The 21,778-nt window shown below is 44.2% G+C and overlaps 1 protein-coding gene across 8 annotated transcripts in view, besides 2 other annotated features; it reads left to right on the top strand.

The window, feature by feature from the left end:
• CCDC62 (coiled-coil domain containing 62) overlaps positions 1 to 21,778 on the top strand; it is a 52,957-nt gene that overhangs the window by 16,906 nt on the left and 14,273 nt on the right. For 6 of the 8 annotated variants that reach the window (XR_944784.2, NR_027918.3, NM_201435.5 and 3 more), the window contains exons 6-10: positions 543 to 644; positions 5,830 to 5,918; positions 6,608 to 6,723; positions 9,647 to 10,375; positions 14,674 to 14,818. Coding sequence is in view for 6 of the 8 variants with exons in the window: in NM_201435.5 (NP_958843.2) it covers positions 543 to 644; positions 5,830 to 5,918; positions 6,608 to 6,723; positions 9,647 to 10,375; positions 14,674 to 14,818 (1,181 nt within the window). In the remaining 2 variants the exon portion in view is untranslated. Of the gene's footprint in view, positions 1 to 542; positions 645 to 2,802; positions 2,845 to 5,829; positions 5,919 to 6,607; positions 6,724 to 9,646; positions 10,376 to 14,673; positions 14,819 to 21,778 lie in introns of those variants that run through there. The other 2 variants (XM_011538856.3, XM_047429680.1) reach the window with 2 other exon arrangements.
• Positions 4,271 to 4,471: a silencer, noted in NCBI's record as "peak2023 fragment used in MPRA reporter construct". NCBI's record gives its function as "represses an SCP1 promoter by STARR-seq MPRAs in K562 erythroleukemia cells {active_cell/tissue: K562}" and the evidence as "EXISTENCE:reporter gene assay evidence [ECO:0000049][PMID:32103011]".
• Positions 20,760 to 20,935: a silencer, noted in NCBI's record as "fragment chr12:123296784-123296959 (GRCh37/hg19 assembly coordinates)". NCBI's record gives its function as "represses an EF-1alpha promoter that drives an FKBP-Casp9 reporter gene in an ReSE screen in K562 erythroleukemia cells {active_cell/tissue: K562}" and the evidence as "EXISTENCE:reporter gene assay evidence [ECO:0000049][PMID:32094911]".

Below are 21,778 nucleotides of genomic sequence, written 5' to 3' on the forward strand. Positions count from 1 at the left end.
CTCACTCTGTTGTCCAGGTTGAGTGCAGTGGCGTGATCTCAGCTCACTGCAACCTCTGCCACCTGGATTCAAGCGATTTTCCTGCCTCAGGCTCCTGAGTAGCTGGGATTGCAGGTGTGTGCCACCACACCCAGCTAATTTTTGTATATTTAGTAGAGACGGGGTTTCACCATGTTGGCCAGGCTGGTCTCGAACTCCTGGCCTCAAGTGGTTTGTCCGCCTTGGCCTCCCAAAGTGCTGGGATTATAGGCGTGAGCCACTGCGCTGGGCAGATTTTGATTTTTAAAAGATTGCTCTGTGTACACTGGGCTGTCACAGGAGAGGCAAGGCTGGTGCAGGGAGGTCAGTCAGATGAGAGCAAGCGAAGCCTCCAACCAGGGGTCCTTGCCAGGTGTGGAGATGTTGGCTGTGAAACAGATTTTGTCTATAGATCCATCAGGACCGGAAGGAGCCGCTGAGGATGTGAGAGTTAGGCATAGTGTGTATATGAGGACTGGAACCTAGTATTTATTTGAGGACTTTCTTTTTCTTCTGTTGTGAAGAGGACCTCAATGAAAAGACGACAGAAAATAATGAGCAACGAGAAGAGATCATTCGCCTCAAGCAAGAGAAAAGTTGCCTGCACGATGAATTGCTTTTTACTGGTAAAACAGATGATCGAATGTATTTGTAACCTAGACTTGCAATGATGACAGGCTGAAGGAATTATACCTCTCCCAAAATGGTTTTTTTTTTTTTTTTTTTGAGACAGGGTCTTTTTTGAGACAGGGTCTTGCTCTGTCACCCAGGCTGGAGTGCAGTGGTGCAATCTCGTCTGACTGCAACTTCTGCCTCCCGGGCCCAAGCGATTCTCCTGCCTCAGCCTCCTTAGTAGCTGGGGTTACTGGTATGAGCCACCACGCCCGGCTAAATTTTGTATATTTAGTAGAGACGGGGTTTCACCACATTGGTCAGGCTGGTCTTCTTGAACTCCTAACCTCAAGTGATCTACGGGCCTTGGCCTTCCAAAGTGCTGAGATTGCAGGCGTGAGCCCGGCTTTTTTATTTTTATTTTTTTCTGAGACAGAGTCTCACTCTGTCGCCCAGGCTGGAATGCAGTGGCATGATCTCGGCTCACTGCAACCTCTGCCTCCCAGGTTCAAGCAGTTCTCCTGCCTCAGCCTCCCAAGTAGCTGGGATTACAGGCGCATGCTACCATGCCCGGCTAATTTTTATATTTTTAGTAGAGACGGGGTTTCACCATGTTGGCCAGGCTGATCTCGAACTCTGGCCTCAGATAATCCGCCCGCCTCAGCCTCGCAAAGTGCTGGGATTACAGGCATGAGCCATCACGCCAGGCCTTTTTGTTTGTTTTTAACACCCTTTGTGGGACCGATGGTGGACCAAGCAGCGAGTGTTAATGCTGCCATCCCGTTCCCAGTCACTATTTCCTCTTCTGTAAAATGAGCTATTCTCCCTTCCAGCTTAAGCGTGTGACTCTGCTTCTTACTAAAAACATAACATAGATGCTCCTTGACTTACAGGGTTACATTCTGATAAACCCCTCGCAAGTCAAAAATGCATTTAATGAAGCCAACCCAGCCACCAGCATAGCTCAGCCTAGCCTGCCTTAAACATGCACAGAACACTCGCATTAGCCTGCATTTGGACGAAATCATCTCACACAAAGGCTGTTTTATAATAAATTGTTGAATATATCATGTAATTTACTGAAAGCGAAAAACAGAATGGTTGTATGGGTGCTCAGAGTAGGGGTTTTTTAATGAATGTGTACCCCTAGTAAAAGGGGGACTGAGGGTAGGTATCAGTAGACCAAAAAGTGTTCATATGATTTTCTCTTCGGAACTTTACCTCTAAATCAATGACTTTCCTAACACAAACCACTGAAAAGAAAGCCCAGTAGAATCATCTTGGCTGGCAGGGATGTCAACAAGCTCTCTATGTCAGTCATTCTCAGTTGGGAGTGGAGAAGTAGGCCTTCACCAGTGGAAACTCTGAGATACTGGGGGTAGGTAAGGAATATGGCAGGGAATGGAATGCAGTTTGTCTGTAAATTAATGGGAAAAAATTGAGGCTCATCACAGCCTCAAACTCCTGGACTCAAGGAATCCTCCCGCCTTGGCCTTCCTAGTAGCCTGGCTAAATTTTTAATTTTTTTGCAGAGAAGGGGTCTCACTATGTTGCCCAGGCTGGTCTCTAGCTCCTGGGATCAAGCGATCCCCTTGCCTCGGCCTCTCAAAATGCTGGGATTACAGGTGCGAGCCACCATGCCCGACCTAAGAAGTTTTAAGTGAAATGGAATTCTTAATTTTAATCTCTTGTGATTAAAGATCGGGGTGAAAGTGTGGTATTCTGCCACTAGAGGTCACTATTTTCACCATTTCTAGGATTGCTGCATCTGCAAGTAGTGATAACCCGTTAACGCTGCTAAAGATATCACATATTTGTAGCTTTACAGTTGCATTCAAACAGTCCTTGGACCAGCATTTGTACGCCAGGTGCCCTGCGATATGCTCAGAAGCTCACAGGCCCACAGAATTCACTACTATACAAATGCTATGCATAAAATGCTATGGGAGGTCAAAGGAAAGAACAAAGCTTAAAGGATACGTTAGTCTCTTTTCTTTTTGATTAATCACTTTTTACCCATGCACTCTACTATGTATTACTAAGTAAAATACATGGAATTTGTTAGCTAATATTATAATAAATCGATTTTGTGAAATATTTTTATCATATACTAAGCAGATTTCTTTACCCAGGCTGGAGTGCAGTGGTACAATCGCAGCTCACTGCAGCCTCAAACTCTGAGGCTCAAGTGATCCTCCCACCTCAGCCTCCCAGGTAGGTGGGACCACAGGCACATGCCATCACACATGCCTAATTTTTAAATTTTTTGTATGGATGAGGTTCCACTATGTTGCCCAGTCTGGTCTGGAACTGCTGGGCTCAAGAGATCCTCCTACCTCTGCCTCCCAAAGCCCCAAAGCGTTGGGATTACAGGCATGAGCCACCATGCCTGTCATCCTAAATTGATTCCTTAAACATCTTCTTAACTAAAGACAATCTCACACCATTGTCTGAAAACAATTTTTGTATGTTTTATTCTTCTTTTTCAAAATATAGACAATTGATAGATTTGCATGTTTCAATTATAAAAGTGAACAAAGCCTACAAAAGAATTTATTTATTTAGTAGAGACAGGGTCTTGCTCTGTTGCCCAGCCTGGAGTGCAGTGGTGCAATCATAGCTCACTGCAGCCTCGACTGTCTGGGTTCAAGTGATCCTGCCACCTCAGCCTCCTGAGTTGCTGGGACTACAGGCATGTGTCATCACACCTAGCTAATTTTATTTTATTTTATTTATTTTTAGTAGAGGCAGGGTCTCGCTATGTGGCCCAGGCTGCTGGTCTTGAACTCCTAGCCTCAGATAATCCTCCTGCCTTGGCCTCCCAAAGTACTAAGATTATAGGCATGAGCCATCGTGCTTGGCTTAAGCCCAAAAAAGAATTTTTAAAGGGCATAACATGATAATATGCCGTCAAGTGCTATGGCTAAATGTCACGATTTTTTTTGTTTTTGTTTTTTTTCGGAGATGGAGTCTTGGTCTGTCGCCTAGGCTGGAGTGTAGTGGTGCGATCTTGTCTCACTTCAACTTCCGCCTCCTGGGTTCAAGCAATTCTCATGCCTCAGCCTCCGGAGTAGCTGGGACTGCAGGCACACGTCACGACACCTGGCTAATTTTTTGTACTTTAGTAGAGACGTGGTTTCATTGTGTTGCCCAGGCTGGTCTCGAACTCTTGAGCTCAGACAATCCACCCGCCTCGGCCTCCCAAAGTGTTAGGATTACAGGTGTGAGCCACCGCACCCAGTCAGATGTTACCATGTTTTATTTGAAGTTGGAAGATGTCTTAAAGTTTTACTTTTAAGTTTAAAACTTGTAGAAAATGCAGTTCTTTTTTTTTTTGAGACGGAGTCTCGCTGTCGCCCAGGCTGGAGTGCAGTGGTGTGTTCGCGGCTCACTGCAAGCTCAGCCTCCTGGGTTCATGCCATTCTCCTGCCTCAGCCTCCCGAGTAGCTGGGACTACAGGCGCCCGCCACCATGCCCAGCTAATTTTTTGTATTTTTTAGTAGAGATGGGGTTTCACCGTGTTAGCCAGGATGGTCTTGATTTCCTGACCTCATGATCTGCCCACCTTGGCCTCCCAAAGTGCTGGGATTACAGGCGTGTTCTTTTACATAGGCTGAGGGACATGTTTTGCTTGTACATAACTAGGAGTAAGGAGTTTGCAAAGAGAACAATGATACTAGTTTACATTTCTGTGGGTCCTGACAGTCCTGTAGGTGAGCTCTTATAGACTGAGTGTCTGCCTCAGGTCTCCCAGGCGGTAAAAGGCAGAGTCTTGATCAGAATTCAGCAGGTTCCAGGCGTCTAAGTCCCTTCCCATTGTTTTAGCTTAGGCTGCTTGTTCAGGCAGATAGCAGCAGAGAGTTCCTTACCTCTGTTTTCTGTGGCCAACTTGTGAAAATAGTCAGACCCAATCCACTTTGATCTCTCAGCTAAACCCAGCCATGGAGAAAACTATCTGGACTAGGGAAACATTTATATTTACATTGGCATTGCCTCTTATGCAAAAGTAGATTATTCTGAAATCAGAGATTAAGGCAACATTCAAATATACATATATTTTTTTTTTCTTTGACCACCTGCCCTCCCCCACCGCCCCCCGACAACCCCACTGGCCAACATTCAGATATATTTAAAATTACTCTGAGGGCCAGGTAAAGTAGTTGGCTTTTGTTTAGGGACCATGCTGTATCCAAAACAAGTATTTATTTATTTTTTTTAAGAGACAGTGTCTTGCTGTGTTGACTCAGGCTGGTCTCAAACTCCTGGGCTCAAGCAATCTTCCCACCTCAGCCTCCAAAGTAGCTGGAAATATAACAAAACAGGTTTATTTAAACATTAGGAAATATAACAAAACAGGTTTATTTAAACCCTGCTTGGATGCTGTTAACATGAAAGGCATGTAGAATTGAGACCCACGGAGTCAGATGCACTACGGATATCACTTCCACTGTTAAAATGTCTCAGTTTTGGCCGGGCATGGTGGCTCATGCCTGTAATCCCAGCATTTTGGGAGGCTGAGGCGGGTAGATCACATGAGGCCAGGAGTTCGAGACCAACCTGGCTAACATGGTGAAACACAGGAGTTCAAGACCAGCTTGGGCAACATAGTGAGACCCCCATCTCTATTTTTAAAAATATTTTATCTTTTAAAATTTTTAAATAAATAATTGAAGTAATATGTATTAAGTATAGAGATTTGGAAATCATCCTTATTCTATCTCCCCACAAAAGGAAAGACAAATAATCCCTGAATCTACAAATCACTTCTTCTTTTTTTTTTTTTTTTTTTAAGACAAAGTCCTCACTTTGTCATCCAGGCTGGAGTGCAGTGGCGCAATCTCTGCTCACTGCAACTTCCACCTCCCAGGTTCAAATGATTTTCCTGCCTCAGCCTCCCAAGTAGCTGGACCACAGGCAGGCACCACCACACCCGGCTAAATTTGTATTTTTAGTAGAAATGGGGTTTCACCATGTTGGCCAGGCCAGTCTCGAACTCTTGACCTCAAGTGGTCTACCCACCTCAGCCTCCCAAAGTGCTGCAATTACAGGTGTGAGCCACTTCGTTCAGCCCATTCTGCTATTTTTAAGTACAGGAACAACAACAACAAAAATGTTAGCTGAGCATTAAATTGTTGGAAATGGAGAGGTTTGTGTGGCTATAGCTGATGAAAAATGTTAATAATACTTGTTCTTAAATAGTAGAGAGAGAAAAGAGGAAAGATGAATTGCTTAATATTGCGAAGTCAAAGCAAGAACGCACAAATTCAGAACTGCACAATCTGAGACAGGTATGTCCCCAATCATCCTTCTCTGTCACATAAGAAATGTTTGTAAACAAATAGCAAATTAGGAAAAATGTATGCCCGTCGATTTTGTTTAATTGGTGATTTGGAATCCTAACTACATTAGTTGTATATCATGTTTATTTATTTTTATTATTATTATTTTTTTGAGACGGAGTCTCGCACTGTCAACCGGGCTGGGGTGCAATGGCCTGATCTCGGCTCACTGCAACCTCCACCTCCTAGTTACAAGCGATCCTCCTGCCTCAGCCTCCCAAGTAGCTGGGATTACATGTGCCCACCACCACGCCCAGCCAATTTTTTGTATTTTTAGTAGAGACAGGGTTTTACTGTGTTGGCCAGGCTGGTCTCGAACTCCTGACCTCATGACCCGCCCACCTCAGCCTCCCAAAGTGCTGGGATTACAGGCGTGAACCAGCGCACCCAGCCTGTATATCATGTTTAGTATAGCAAATAGGTCTTGCTTGTGGTGATCAAAGGCTGGGAGCCCAGCTATCCTAGCAAATCTTAGTGCTAACAAAGGAAAATTAAAAGCAGACATATTTAGCATATTTCTCTAGTAACTATCTGACCTGTTTTAGGATTTGTGAACTGTTTCAGGGAAAGTGCCAAATTGTTGGTTCAGTTTAGTTTTGTTATTACATTTCATGTTGATTTGTCAATATCTATGACAGATTTATGTAAAACAACAGAGTGATCTGCAGTTTCTTAATTTCAATGTGGAAAATTCTCAGGAATTAATACAGATGTATGACTCAAAGATGGAGGAATCAAAGGCTCTGGACTCCAGGTAATCTTAGCAAGATGCAATTAATATGATCTTGTATTATATTCCATCAGCCAGTATTTACTGCGCACTTACTGTTGGCCAGTACTGACTACTATTCCCCATATGGTAGGAAATAAATGTGGCCGGGCACGGTGCCTCACACCTGTAATCCCAGCACTTTGGGAGGCCAAGGCAGGTGGGTCACCTGAGGTCAGGAGTTCGAGACCAGCCTGGCCAACATGGTGAAACCCCATCTCTACTAAAAATACAAACATTAGCCAGGCATAGTGGCTCATGCCTGTAGTCCCAGCTACTTGCAAGGCTGAGGCACGAGAATCGCTTGAACCTGGGAGGTGGAGGTTGCAGTGAGCCGAGATCACGCCACTGCACTCCAGCCTGGTAACAGAGCAAGATTCTGTTTCAAAATAAATAAATAAATAAAAATATAAAAATTAGCTGGGCGTGTTCGCGGGTATATGTAATCCCAGCTACTTGGGAGGCTGAGGCAGGAGAATCACTTGAACCCCGGAGGTGGAGGTTGCAGTGAGCCGAGATCGCGCCATTGCACTCCAGCCTGCGTGACAAGAGCCAAACTCCGTCTCAAAAAATAAATAAATAGGCCTGGCGCGGTGGCTCATGCCTGTAATCCCAGCACTTTGGGAGGCCGAGGCAGGTGGATCACGAGGTCAGGAGATCGAGACCATCCTGGCTAACACGGTGAAGCCCCATCTGTACTAAAAATACAAAAAAATTAGCCAGGCATGGTGGCAGGCGCCTGTAGTCCCAGCTATTCGGCAGGCTGAGGCAGGAGGATTGCTGGAACCCGGGAGGCAGAGGTTGCAGTGAGCTGAGATTGCGCCACTGCACTTCAGCCTGGGTGACAGAGTGAGACTCCGTATGAAAAATAAATAAATAAATAATAAATAAATACAATAAATGTGTGTGAGCTAATAATGATTGTCATAATCCTCAGTCGCAGGAAGACCCAATCTAAGAATTTTAGTCATGATCCTGATTTAGCCACTGGATAGAAGTAAATTTATTTAACCTGATTTTCCCTTCTGTTGTGTAGAAGGCTTTGAGCTAGAATAGACACTACAGAGATGAATCATTCATTCATCCATCCATCCATCCATCCGTCCATCCATCCATCCAGCATTCAGTGTTTGGACACTAGGCTAGGACTTGGGCACATGTAGGTATATAGGGCATGGCACTCGCCCAAAAGAAGTAATGCCAAGGAATGCATTGATTACTGAGTAGGAGCCCCACTCCACCGAGGGTGATCTGTGCCCTTAACTGGATTTTCCTGCTTGCCTTATTAATAGGAAACATCTTCCCATCCCCACAACAAGCAGTGTGGGAATTAAATTGGTTTTGGTAAAATTAAAATATAAACATATAAAGTGTGGTTTAATTTAACAGGCATATAACTGTACCACAGCTCAACTTAGTCTACTTTTCTAAGCCAAAATTTTACAAGAAGTCTTTGAAAGGGAGAGGGATTAGGGAAGCTCCCCATGGCTGTTTGGAACCATGGAGGCTGGACTGGGTTGCAGCAGCGACTTTCCCTGGGAGAATGGAGTTGAGAGCAGCAGGGCTTAGTAGCTGCAGCACTGCAGGGATCACCCCAGGCGTGTGGCGTGTGGCTGGGGCCGCCCTGCTTTCCGCTGCACTTGCTTCACTTTCCTTTGGGGCCCTCTGCGAGGGGTTGTGGCCTGTGGCTCTGGGTCCTAGCTGCTGCCGCTGCCACCAGACACCAGACTAACTCAGAGCTCTCTTGCAGGCAGAAGCCCCTTACATACTGGCTCTTTCTTCTTTTTCCTTTTTTTGAGATGGGGTCTTGCTCTGTTGCCCAGGCTGGCATGCAGTGGTGCAACCTCAGCTCACTGCAACCTCCACCTCCTGGGTTCAAGCGATCCTCTCACCTCAGCCTTCCAAGTAAGTAGCTGGGCCCACAGGCATGCGCCACCATGCCCGGCTACTTTTTTTTTTTTTTTTTTTTTTTTGTACATATGGGGTTTCGTCGTGTTGCGAAGGCTGTCTTTCTCCTTTTTGACCTTCATTGCCTCTAGGAGGTACTAGATGAGTTGAGGTTATTCCTTAAAAGCTAAAAATAGGCTGGACGCCATGGCTCACACCTGTAATTGCAGTGCTTTCGGAAGCTAAGGCAGGAGGATTGCTTGAGGCCAGGAGTTCAAGAGCAGCCTAGGCAACATAGCAAGACCCTGTCTCTATAAAAAAAAAATTTTTTTTTTTTTTTTGAGATGGAGTTTCACTCTTGTCACCCAGACTGGAGTGCCAATGGCGCGATCTCAGCTCACTGCAACCTCCACCTCCCAGGTTCAAGCAATTCTCTTGCCTCAGCCTCCCAAGTAGCTGGGAATACAGGCCTGCGCCACCACGCCCGGCTAATTTTTGTATATTTAGTAGATGGGGTTTCTCCATGTTGGTCAGGCTGGGTCTCGAACTCCTGACCTCAGGTGATCCACCCGCCTCAGCCTCCCAAAGTACCGGGATTACAGGCGTGAGCCACTGCACCCGGCCTCAAAAAAAATTTTTTTTAAGCATAAAATAGTTTATAGCATTATGGAAAGAGAGAGTTGTATTTCCTAAGATATCAGAATGATGCAGATTAGAATACCTGAATACAAGTGACATGAAAAATTTTAAAGGAAGATTTATTAAAAGGTTTTGTCACATTTCTGCAGTATTCTTTTTTTCTCATGTAGACAGTAAGTGCAATAAGAGGAGGATGGAAAAGGGAATGTGGGCTTTGTGGTCAGAAAGGATTCCTGGAGAAGGTCGGGCTGGAATTGGGCTCTGAGGTTCAGACAAACGAGTCTCATTGGGATTTAGCTCTACTGAGTTTTGGGTGAAATGTTTAGAATGATAGCATCAAGTATATCTTATAACCTCCATTTTTTTTCTAATGCCACCATAGCAGAGACATGTGTTTATCAGACCTTGAAAATAACCACCCAAAAGTCGATATTAAGAGGGAAAAAAATCAGAAGTCACTGTTTAAGGACCAGAAATTTGAAGCCATGTTGGTTCAGCAAAATAGGTCAGACAAGAGCTCTTGCGATGAATGCAAAGAGAAGAAACAACAGATCGATACTGTGTTTGGGGAGAAAAGTGTAATTACGCTGTCATCCATATTCACCAAAGACTTAGTAGAGAAACACAACCTCCCTTGGTCTCTGGGAGGAAAAACCCAGATTGAACCCGAAAACAAAATTACATTGTGCAAGATCCACACAAAATCACCAAAATGTCATGGCACTGGGGTTCAGAACGAAGGAAAACAACCCTCAGAAACACCCACTTTATCTGATGAGAAGCAGTGGCATGATGTCAGTGTTTACCTGGGCCTGACCAACTGTCCAAGTTCAAAACATCCAGAAAAGCTGGATGTAGAATGTCAAGATCAGATGGAAAGGTCCGAAATCTCATGCTGCCAGAAAAATGAAGCCTGTCTGGGCGAAAGTGGCATGTGTGACTCCAAGTGCTGCCACCCGAGTAACTTCATAATTGAAGCCCCAGGCCACATGTCTGACGTGGAGTGGATGAGTATTTTCAAGCCTTCCAAAATGCAGAGAATTGTCCGCCTCAAATCTGGGTGCACCTGTTCAGAAAGCATCTGTGGCACACAACATGACTCCCCGGCAAGGTGAGTAACGTTCACATCTGTAAACACCCACGGAGCATGCATGCCAGTATTTGGAAATACAAAGGGTGATGGAAGCCACGCCATACCTACTATTAATCCAAAAGGCATGTTTGCTAACAGAAATCTTCCTTAGGACCAATGGTTCCCTCTTTTCATCACAGCATGGACTGTTGAGTCTTTAATTATAGAGGCTCTATTAGGTTCCAGGGATGTGTTTATACTGAGGACGGCTTCTGAGGCAAAGGTTTTGTTTAAAAACAAAACCAGTTGTTATGACTTGGGCAGATATGCTTTATTAAAAAGCAAACGGGTGGATCGCTGCACAGAGTGGAACGCCACCCTAGAGCATTCCTCACCCCAGAAGCCATTCTGAACTGACACGCTGACCATTTCTGGTCCAGATGGCATTACCTAGACCCCATATAAAAATGTCTCTTGGTGCATTGTGGTGGCTCATGCCTGTAATTCTAGCACTTTGGGAGGCCAAGGCAGGAGGGTCACATGAGGCCAGGAGTTTGAGACCAGCATGGGCAATATAACGAGACCCTATCTCTACACTTTTTTTTTTTTTTTTTTTTGGAGATGGAGTCTAGCTTTGTCGCCCAGGCTGGAGTGCAGTGGCGCAGTCTTGGCTCACTGAAACCTCCGCCTCCTGGGTTCAAGCCATTCTCCTGCCTCAGCCTCCCAAGTAGCTGGGATTAAAGGCACACACCACCATGCCCAGCTAATTTTTATAAGTTTTGTAAAGATGGGGTCTCACCATATTGGCCAGGCTGGTCTTGAACTCCTGACTTCCAGTGGTCCACCCACCTTGGCCTCCCAAATTGCTGTGATTACAGGCATGAGCCACCACACTTGGCCTCTACACATTTTTAAAAAATTGTTTTTAAGTTAGCTGGGCATGGTGGTGTACACCTGTAGTCCCAGTACTTGGGAGGCTGAGGCAGGAGGACCACTTGAGTCCAGGAATTTGAGACTAGCCTGGTTAACATAGTGAGGCTCCATCTCTACAAAAAAAATTTTTTAATTTGCTGGGCATGGGTGGCAAACACGTGTAGTCCAAGCTACTTGGGAGGCTGAGGTGGGAGGATCACTTGAACTCAGGAGTTTGAGACTGCAGTGAGCTATGATGGTGCCACTGCACTCCAGCCTGGGCAACAAAGTGAGACTCTATTTCAAAAACATTTGTCATGGCTCTTTTTTTAAAAATTGAGATGAGGTGACACGATATTGCCCAGGCTGGTCTCGAACTCCTGGGCTTAAGCAATCTTTTCACCTGTGGGGATTACAGGTGTGAGCCACCGCATCCAGCATCTCTCAGCTCTTATCCAGGGTCACTTAGTATATTTACATATCCGACCGTGCCTGCCTTTGTGTTCATTCATTTCATATCTGTTTGAGACTTTACATTGCCCAGACTTTCTTAATTTTTGAAAATCATTCAGGAAAGAGGATACTTGTATTTAACAAGCTGGTAAGTTATTGGTTTTTTTAAGAGAAGAAAATTTAAGAGAATAAGGCATATGCTGCCTTATTCAGGCTTGTCTTATTGTTGGAATAGCTGAATCTTGTGTGTGAGTGTCGTCATAATAATGTCTGCTATTTTAAAATAAAGCATAGCTCTTTAATCTTAAATTACAGAAAGGATGAAGTTTCTATATTGAGAGGCGTATTTTAATCATTACATTGGCTTTTATAGGACTTTATGATTAAAGTTTATTTCTAGTGCTTAATTATTTGGAGTATCCTTTGGCTCTTTAATTGTATTTTGTTTATTTATTTCCTTTGGCCCTTTTAGAAACTTGAATTGTTTAAAAGTCATGCAGATAGTCATTCTGCCAGTTGCAAATTATTTTAAAAAGTCGGTCATCACGCTAAATGTCATCTATTCATATTTGGTCTTTAAAGATCTTTGGATAATTGCAAGTATCAGGGCACAATGCCTATTTTTCACTACTGAACAAGGACACTCATATATTAAGGGACAAGCTTATGTCAGATAGTTTTAAGAGCATAGAGGATTAAATTTAACGTATGAAATAAGTTCAGATTTACATTCAGAGTTTCCTTCAAGGCCCTTTTGACCTCACCGACTTAAAATGATTGAAGTGATTGCCTGTTCTGCCAGCAGAGACGGATGCCAAGATATCACATGACAAATATGTGATTAAGTAGAAAGATAATTATGTTTTTCTCTTTTTCCATAGATTATAAGAACTTGCGTACCTACTTTATTATCTAACTAAAATGTTCACATCTGTGCCAGCATTCCATTTGACAAACAGAGGTTTACCCGTGCAGGGAGAAACTGGGGGCAGCCTGTTCTCACTTCATTGTAGCTTACAGGGAAGGAAGCAGTTCTAGTGCCTCTGGTCTGTTCCAGAACAGCTTTTGCTGTCAAACTCAGGCGGATCACCTGAGGTCAGGAGGTCGAGACCGACCTGGCCAACATGGTGAAACCCTATCTCTACTAAAAATACAAAAATGAGCCGGACGTGGTGGCACACGCCTGTAGTCCCAGCTACTCGGGAGGCTGAGGCACAAGAATCACTTGAACCCAGGAGGTGGAGGTTGCAGTGACCCAAGATTATGCCACTGCACTGCAGCCTGGGCAACAGAATGGGACTCGGTCTCAAAAAAAAAGGTCATTGGCCAAGTGAGGTGGCTCATGCCTGTAATCCCAATACTTTGGGAGGCCAAAGCAAGGAGGATCTCTTGAGTTCAGGAGTTGAAGGCCATCCTGGGCAACAGCATGGCCCATCTCCAATAATAACAAAAATAAATAAATAAATAAAGCCATTAACAAAAATCAATCTCACAAACTGAAAACCTAAAATTTTCACAAGTATAACCTTATTCCATGTTGTTTTTTTTTTCTCTTTTTAGAGATAGGGTCTCGCTATCACCCAGGCTGGAGTGCAGTGGTATAATCATAGCTCACTGCAGCCTCTAACTCCTGGGCTCAGGTGATCCCACCTCAGCCTCCCAGGTAGCCAAGACTACGGGCACGAGTCACTGCACTTGGTTCCATTTTTTTTTTTTTTTTTTTGAGATGAAGTTTCACTCTTGTCGCCCAGCCTGGAGTGCAATGGCACGATCTCGGCTCACTGCAACCTCTGCCTCCCGGGTTCAAGCGATTCTCCTGCCTCAACCTCCAGAGTAGCTGAGATTACAGGCGCGCGCCACCATGCCCGGCTGATTTTTGTATTTTTAGTAGAGATGGAGTTTTACCATGTTGGCCAGGCTGGTCTCAAACTCCTGACCTCAGGTGGTCAGCTCTCCTCGGCCTCCCAAAGTATGGGGATTACAGGCATGAGTCACCGCAACTGGCCGGCTTTTTTTTTTTTTTTTTTTTTTGTGAGAATTAGTCTGTTTTAATTTTTCCCTCCCTTTTAGATGATCCTATCTTTAGAACTTTCATTTCATTGTATTTTTAGGGGGAACATTCTTTGTTCTATAGTTACCTTTACCTAATAATTTTGTCTTAATTCTTTTTTTTTTTTTTTTTTTGAGACAGAGTGTCTCTCTGTCACCAGGCTGGAATGCAGTGGTGCGATCTTGGCTCTCCGCAACCTCCGCCTCCTGGGTTCAAGCAATTCTCCTGCCTCAGCCTCCTGAGTAGCTGGGATTACAGGCACATGCCACCACACCCAGCTCTTTTTTTTTTTTTTTTTTTTTTTGAGGCGGAGTCTTGCTCTGTCGCCCAGGCTGGAGTGCAGTGGCGCGATCTCAGCTCCCTGCAAGCTCTGCCTCCCGGGTTCACGCCATTCTCCTGCCTCAGCCTTCCGAGTAGCTGGGACTACAGGCACCCGCCACCACACCTAGCTAATTTTTTGTATTTTTAGTAGAGACGGGGTTTCACCGTGTTAGGATGGTCTCGATTTCCTGACCTCCTGATCCGCCTGCCTCTGCCTCCCAAAGTGCTGGGATTACAGGTGTGAGCCACCGCTCCCGGCCACATCCAGCTAATTTTTGTGTTTTTAGTAGAGATGGGGTTTCACCATGTTGGCCAGGACAGTCCTGATCTCCTGACCTCGTGATCCACCCAGATCAGCCTCCCAAAGTGCTGGGATTATAGGCATGAGCTACCATGCCCAGCCTTATTTTAATTCTTATTTGCAAAAGGTATGCATTAACTTATAATATTCTATTCCAATCTATAATGTTCTACTCAAACTTGACCTGCTTCAATAACAAAAACACTTATTTGTCCTTTTAAGATACTTTTGAGTATAAGAGTGATCTATGTATGATATTGTTTTAAGATATTTGTTTTTGTTGGGTTTTCTTATTCTTAGTGAGCTAATTGCCATCCAAGATTCCCACTCTTTGGGTTCTTCAAAATCTGCCTTGAGAGAAGATGAGACGGAGTCCTCTTCCAATAAAAAGAACTCACCTACGAGTTTGTTAATCTACAAAGATGCACCAGCATTCAATGAAAAGGTTCGTATTTTGCTTAGACATCCCCAGCTTACTCAAGCCAGGCCTCTCACCAGCTTTTAATGCTTCTCTAGCAACCACTGTTAGCTTGCTTATTTTGGCTATTCCTCCGTTTTTTTTTTTTTTTTTTTAATTCTAGGATTTTAAGATGCTTTTAAGGCAATCCTTTTATTTATTTTATTATTTTGTGTTTTGTTCTGTTTCTTTGAGACAGGATACTCAGTCACCCAGGCTGTAGTGCAGTGGTGCAATCGTGGCTCACTGCAGCCTCAACCTACTGGGCTCAAGTGATCCTCCTGCCTCAGCCTTCCAAGTAGCTGCAACTACAGGCACATGCCACCACGCCCAGCTAATTTTCTCATTTTTTTGTAGAGACAGGGTCTCAATTTGTTGCCCAGTCTGGTCTTGAACACTTGGGCTCAAGTGATCTTCTTGCCTTGGCCTCCCAAAGTGTGCTGGGATTATAAGTGTGAATCACCGTGCTGGGACTATTTTTTTCTTTCGAGAAAAATTGTATTTTTTTTTTTTTTGGCAACTTGATATATGTTGGTTGTAAAAAAAAAAAGAAAGAAAAAAGAAAAAGAAAAACAAACCACAAGAACAATACAGAAATATAGATATCACCTAACTGCTTGGTCTCAGCTGCCCCTTCCTCCAAATACACAACCCCTGGCAGTGTCTAGAGAGACCCAGGTGACACGTTGGTGGGCTTGCTTACAGATTTCTCTATCTGCAGAGACATGCATACAGACTAATGTGTGGTAAATGGGATTTCATTATATGAGAAAATGTGTGGCAAGGTACAGTGCCTCGTGCCTGTAATTCCAACACTCTTGGGGGCCAAAGTGGAAGAATTGCTTAAGCCCAGGAATTCAGGATCAGCATGGGCAACATAGCAAGACCCTGCCTCTATTTTTTGTTTCAATAAAATTTTAAAAACATAAAAGAGGAAAACATCGCCAGGCGCAGTGGCTCACGCCTGTAATCCCAGCACTTTGGAAGGCCGGGGTGGGCAGATAACCTGAGGTCAGGAGTTCGAGACCAGCCTGACCAACATGGTGAAACCCCATCTCTACTAAAATAAAAAAATTAGCCAGGTGTAGTGGCGGGTGCCTGTAATCTCAGCTACTTGGGAGGCTGAGGCGGGAGAATCGCTTGAAACCAGGAGGCAGAGTTTGCAGTGAGCCGAGATTGCACCATTGCACTCCAGCCTGGCAACAGAGTGAGACTCTGTCTCAAAAAAAAAAAAAAAAAAAGGTAAACATCTGACATCTATGATTTACCAAGATACCAGGGTGGCAAATTGAAATCTTCATCCCACTAATGGGATTACAGGCACAAGGCACTGTACCTGGCCAGACATTTTCTTGTATAATAAAATCCCATTTACCACACATTAGTCTGTATGTGACAGACTAATAGTGACACATTCATTACACCCAAACCCCTTTGGAATTCTTCCTCTGCCCTGTGCGTCCCTCCCTATTCCCAGACAATCACTCACTAATCTGTCTTCTGTAACCCAGATTAGTTTGCCTTTTCTAGAATTTTATATAAATGCATTCAAACTTTTGTGTCCCTCTTGTTTCTTTCACTCAGTGTAATTATTTTGAGATTAACTTATGTGACTGTGTATATAAATAATTCCTTTTTGTTGCTGACAAGTATCCTATTGTGTGGATATATTAGGTTGATGCAAAAGTAAGTATGGTCTTTGTCATTAAAAGTAATGGTAGGCCATTAAAAGTAATCCCAACACTTTGGGAGGCCGAGGCAGGCGGATCACTTGAGGTCAGGCGTTCGAGACCAGCCTGGCCAGCATGGTGAAATCCCCTGTCTACTAAAAATACAAAAATGAGCCTGGTGTGCTGGTGTGTGCCTGTAATCCCAGCTACTCAGGATGCTGAGGCAGAAGAATTGCTTAAACCCGGGAGGCAGGGGTTGCAGTGAACCAAGATCGTGCTACTGGACTCCAGCCTGGGTGACAGAGCGAGATTCAATCTCAAAAAAAAAGTAATGGCAAAAACCGCAATTACTTTTGCACCAACCTATTACCACAGTGATTTAGCCATTCATTTGTCAGTGGACATTTGGGTTGTTTCTGGTGTGCTAGATAATACAAATAAAGCTGCTTGCATATTCATGTATCATAAGTCTTTGTATAGACACATTTTTTTTTCGTTTATCTAGGAATGGAATGCTAGCTAGCTCATATGGTAGGTGTATATTTAACCTTTTTTTTTCTTTTTTTAGAGACAGGGTCTCACTCTGTCGCCCAAGCTGGAGTGCAGTGATGCCATCCTGGCTTACTGCAATCTCAAACTCCTGGGCTCAAGTAATCCTCCCACTGCAGCCTCCCAATTAGCTGGGACTGTAGGCATGAACCATTATGCCCAGCTCATTTTTACATTTGTTGTGGAGATGTGGTCTTGTTATGTTGCCCAGGGTGGTCTCAAACTCCTTACCTCAAGCAATCCTCCTGCCTCAGCCTCCCAAAGTGCTGGGGTATATTTAACATTTTAAGGAACTGCAAGATGTTTTCCAAAGTGGTTATACCAGTTACATTCCCACCATCAGTGTGGTGCTGATGCTCCGGTCCCAGCTGCTCCAGATTCCAGTCAATACTTGCAATGGTCAATTTTTAAATTCCAGACATTCTAATAGGTATGAAGAGGTATCTCAGTGTGGTTTTAACTTTCATTCCCCTAATGACTAACAATGTTGTGCACCTTTTCACACGCTAAACCACCATCTATTTATAGCTTCGATTTCAACTGATAGAGAAGTTCTAGCCAGTTATTCAATCCCAAAGAGACGCTATTCTTTATGTCTGTGTAGAATATCCCTTCTTTAATTACTTCTCCAGATTTACCTCCTCTCTGCACTATGCGAACAAAACACTTATCAGGCCATCAGGCCGGGCGTGGTGGCTCATGCCTGTAATCCCAGCACTTTGGGAGGCTGAGGTGGGCAGATCACCTGAGGTCAGGAGTTGAAGACCAGCCTGGCCAACATGGTGAAACCCCATCTCTACTAAAAATACAAAAATTAGCCAGGTGTTGTAGCTCGTGCCTGTGGTCCCAGCCACTCAAGAGGTTGACGTGGAAGAATCACTTGAGCCCGGGAGGCGGAGGCTGCAGCAAGCTGAGATTGTGCCATTGCACTTCAGCCTGGGCGACAGAGCCAGACCCTGTCTTAAAAAATAATAATAGGCTGGGCGTGGTGGCTCATGCCTGTAATCCCAGCACTTTGGGAGGCTGAGGCGGGTGGATCACCTGAGGTCAGAAGTTCAAGACCAGCCTGGTCAACATGGTGAAACACCATCTGGCTATGGCGAGGTGCCAATGACTTTCTTCACAGAATTGGAAAAAAATACTTTAAAGTTCATATAGAACCAAAAAAGAGCTCGCATTGTCAAGTCAATCCTAAGCCAAAAGAACAAAGCTAGAGGCATCACGCTACCTGACTTCAAACTATACTACAAGGCTACAGTAACCAAAACAGCATGGTACTGGTACCAAAACAGAGATATAGACCAATGGAACAGAACAGAGCCCTCAGAAATAATACCACACATCTACAACTATCTGATCTTTGACAAACCTGACAAAAACAAGAAATGGGGAAAGGATTCCCTATTTAACAAATGGTGCTGGGAAAACTGGCTAGCCATATGCTGAAAGCTGAAACTGGATCCCTTCCTTACACCTTATATAAAAATTAATTCAAGATGGATTAAAGACTTAAATGTTAGACCTAAAACCATAAAAACCCTAGAAGAAAACCTAGGCAATACCATTCAGGACATAGGCATGGGCAAGGACTTCATGTCTAAAACACCAAAAGCAATGGCAACAAAAGCCAAAATCGGCAAATGGGTTCTAATTAAACTAAAGAGCTTCTGCACAGCAAAAGAAACTACCATCAGAGTGAACAGGCAACCTACAGAATGGGAGAAAATTTTTGCAATCTATTCATCTGACAAAAGGCTAATATCCAGAATCTACAATGAACTCCAACAAATTTACAAGAAAAAAACAAACAACCCCATCAACAAATGGGCGAAGGATATGAATAGACACTTCTCAAAAGAAGACATTTATGCAGCCAACAGACACATGAAAAAATGCTCATCATCACTGGTCATCAGAGAAATGCAAATCAAAACCACAATGAGATACCATCTCACACCAGTTAGAATGGCGATCATTAAAAAGTCAGGAAACAGCAGGTGCTGGAGAGGATGTGGAGAAATAGAAACACTTTTACACTGTTGGTGGGACTGTAAACCAGTTCAACCATTGTGGAAGACAGTGTGGCGATTACTCAGGGATCTAGAACTAGAAATACCATTTGACCCAGCCATCCCATTACTGGGTATATACCCAAAGGATTATAAATCATGCTGCTATAAAGACACGTGCACACGTATGTTTATTGTGGCACTATTCACAATAGCAAAGACCTGGAACCAACCCAAATGTCCAAAAATGATAGACTGGATTAAGAAAATGTGGCACATATACACCATGGAATACTATGCAGCCATAAAAAATGATGAGTTCGTGTCCTTTGTAGGGACATGGATGAAGCTGGAAACCATCATTCTCAGCAAACTATCACAAGGACAAAAAACCAAACACTGCATGTTCTCACTCATAGGTGGGAATTGAACAATGAGAACACTTGGACACAGGAAGGGGGACATCACACACTGGGGCCTGTTGTGGGGTGGGGGGAGGGGGGAGGGATAGCATTAAGAGATATACCTAATGTAAATGATGAGTTAATGGGTGCAGCACACCAACATGGCACATGTATACATATGTAACAAACCTGCACGTTATGCACATGTACCCTAGAACCTAAAGTATAATAATAAAAAATAAATAAATAAATAAAAAGAAATTAAGTTTCCTTTTTTTTTTTTTTTTTTCAGACGGAGTTTCACTCTTGTTGCCCAGGCTGGAGTGCAATGGCACGATCTCGGCTCACCGCAACCTCCGCCTCCCAGGTTCAAGCGATTCTCCTGCCTCAGCCTCCCTAGTAGCTGGGATTACAGGCATGTGCCACCACGCCCGGCTAATTTTGTATTTTTAGTAGAGACGGGGTTTCTCCATGTTGGTCAGGCTGGTCTCAAACTCCCAACCTCAGGTGATCTGCTCGCCTCAGCCTCCCAAAGTGCTGGGATTACAGGCGTGAGCCACCGTGCCCGGCTGAAATTAAGTTTTCTTAAAAAAAAAAAAAAATCAGGTGGTGGCTCATGCCTGTACTCGCAGCACTTTTGGAGGCTAAGGAAGGGGGATCACCTAAGGTCAGGAGATCGAGACCATCCTGACCAACATGGTGAAACCCCGTCTCTACGAAAAATACAAAAATTAGCTGGGCGTGGTGGCACATGCCTGTAGTCCCAGCTACTCGGGAGGCTGAAAGGCAGGAGAATTGCTTGAACCCGGGAGTTGGAGGTTGCAGTGAGCTGAGATCACGCCACTGCACTCCAGCCTGGCAACAGAGTGAGACTCCATCTGCAAAAAAAAAAAAAAAAAAAAAAAAAAAAAAAATTCAGTCTAGGCCCCTTTAAGAGCAATTGGCAGTGACTAATTTTCATGCCAAACTTCACATCCCAAAGTTGAAATTTAATAGGAATAAACGAAGGCACATACCCACATATTTTTCAAGGCTTATAAGCCTTTAATGTTGTCCTATTTTGCAAGTATTTTGACATGCTAAATACAGCATTGACAAGTTGGTTGAGGAGAGTTAACCAATGCCTAGGATTCTTTTATCGCATGGGTGTTACTTCATTAGCTGTAGTAAGTTCTGTTTAAGTCAAATTATTTAACTGAGTAGGTTCTAAGAAATAAAGGGGGCTGGGTGCAGTGGCTCACGCCTGTAATCCTAGCACTGTGGGAGTTCGAGGCGGATGGATCACTGGAGGTCAGAAGTTCAAGACCAGCCTGGCCAACATGGTGAAACCCTGTCTCTACTAAAAATACAAAATTAGCCAGGTGTGGTGGCGGGCAACTGTAGCCGCATCTACTCGGGAGGCTGAGGCAGGAGAATCACTTGAACCCGGGAGGTGGAGGTTGCAGTGAGCTGAGGTTACACTATTGCACTCCAGCCTAGGCAACAAGAGCAAAACTCCGTCTCAAAAAAAAAAAAAAGAGGCCGGGTGCGGTGGCTCACACTTGTAATCCCAGCACTTTGGGAGGCTGAGGCAGGCAGATCACGAGGTCAGGAGATTGAGACCATTCTGGCTAACGTGGTGAAACCCCGTCTCTACTAAAAAATACAAAAAAAAATTAGCCAGGCATGGTGGTGGGTGCCTGTAGTCCCAGCTACTTGGGAGGCTGAGGTGGGTGGAGCTTGAAGTGAGCCGAGATGATGCCACTGCACTCCAGCCTGGGTGACAGAGCGAGACTCCGTCTCAAAAAAAAAAAAAAAGAAAGAGAGAGAGAGGGAGGGAGAGAGAGAGAGAGAGAGAGAGAAAGAAAGAAAGAAAGAAAGAAAGAAAGAAAGAAAGAAAGAAAGAAAGAAAAGGAATGAATTTAGTTATTCTTATTCTACTATTTGATGTCCAGCTTTGCTTTGTAACACCTAAAGACAAAGAAATATTCACAGGTGATCGGGTGTAGTGGCTCACGCCTATAACCCCAGCACTTTGGGAGGCCGAGGCAGGAGGGTAACTTGAGGCCAGGAGTTCAAGACCAGCCTGGGCAACATAGTGAGATCCCACCTCTACCAAAAAAAAAATTGCTCGGTGTGGTTGCACACACCTATGGTCCCAGCTTTTCAGGAGGCTGAGGCAGGAGGATCACTCGAGCCCAGGAGCTTGAGGCAATCAGCTGTGATTGTGCCACTGCACTTCAGCCTGGGCGTCAGAGCAAGAGAAAGAAAAAAGAAAACAATATTCCTAGGTAGTTAGCATTTGTGTTTGTAAACCTAAGCATTTAAAGGTGCCTC

Source organism: Homo sapiens, chromosome 12 (genome assembly GCF_000001405.40).
Source record: "Homo sapiens chromosome 12, GRCh38.p14 Primary Assembly".
Classification (NCBI taxonomy): Eukaryota; Metazoa; Chordata; class Mammalia; order Primates; family Hominidae; genus Homo; species Homo sapiens.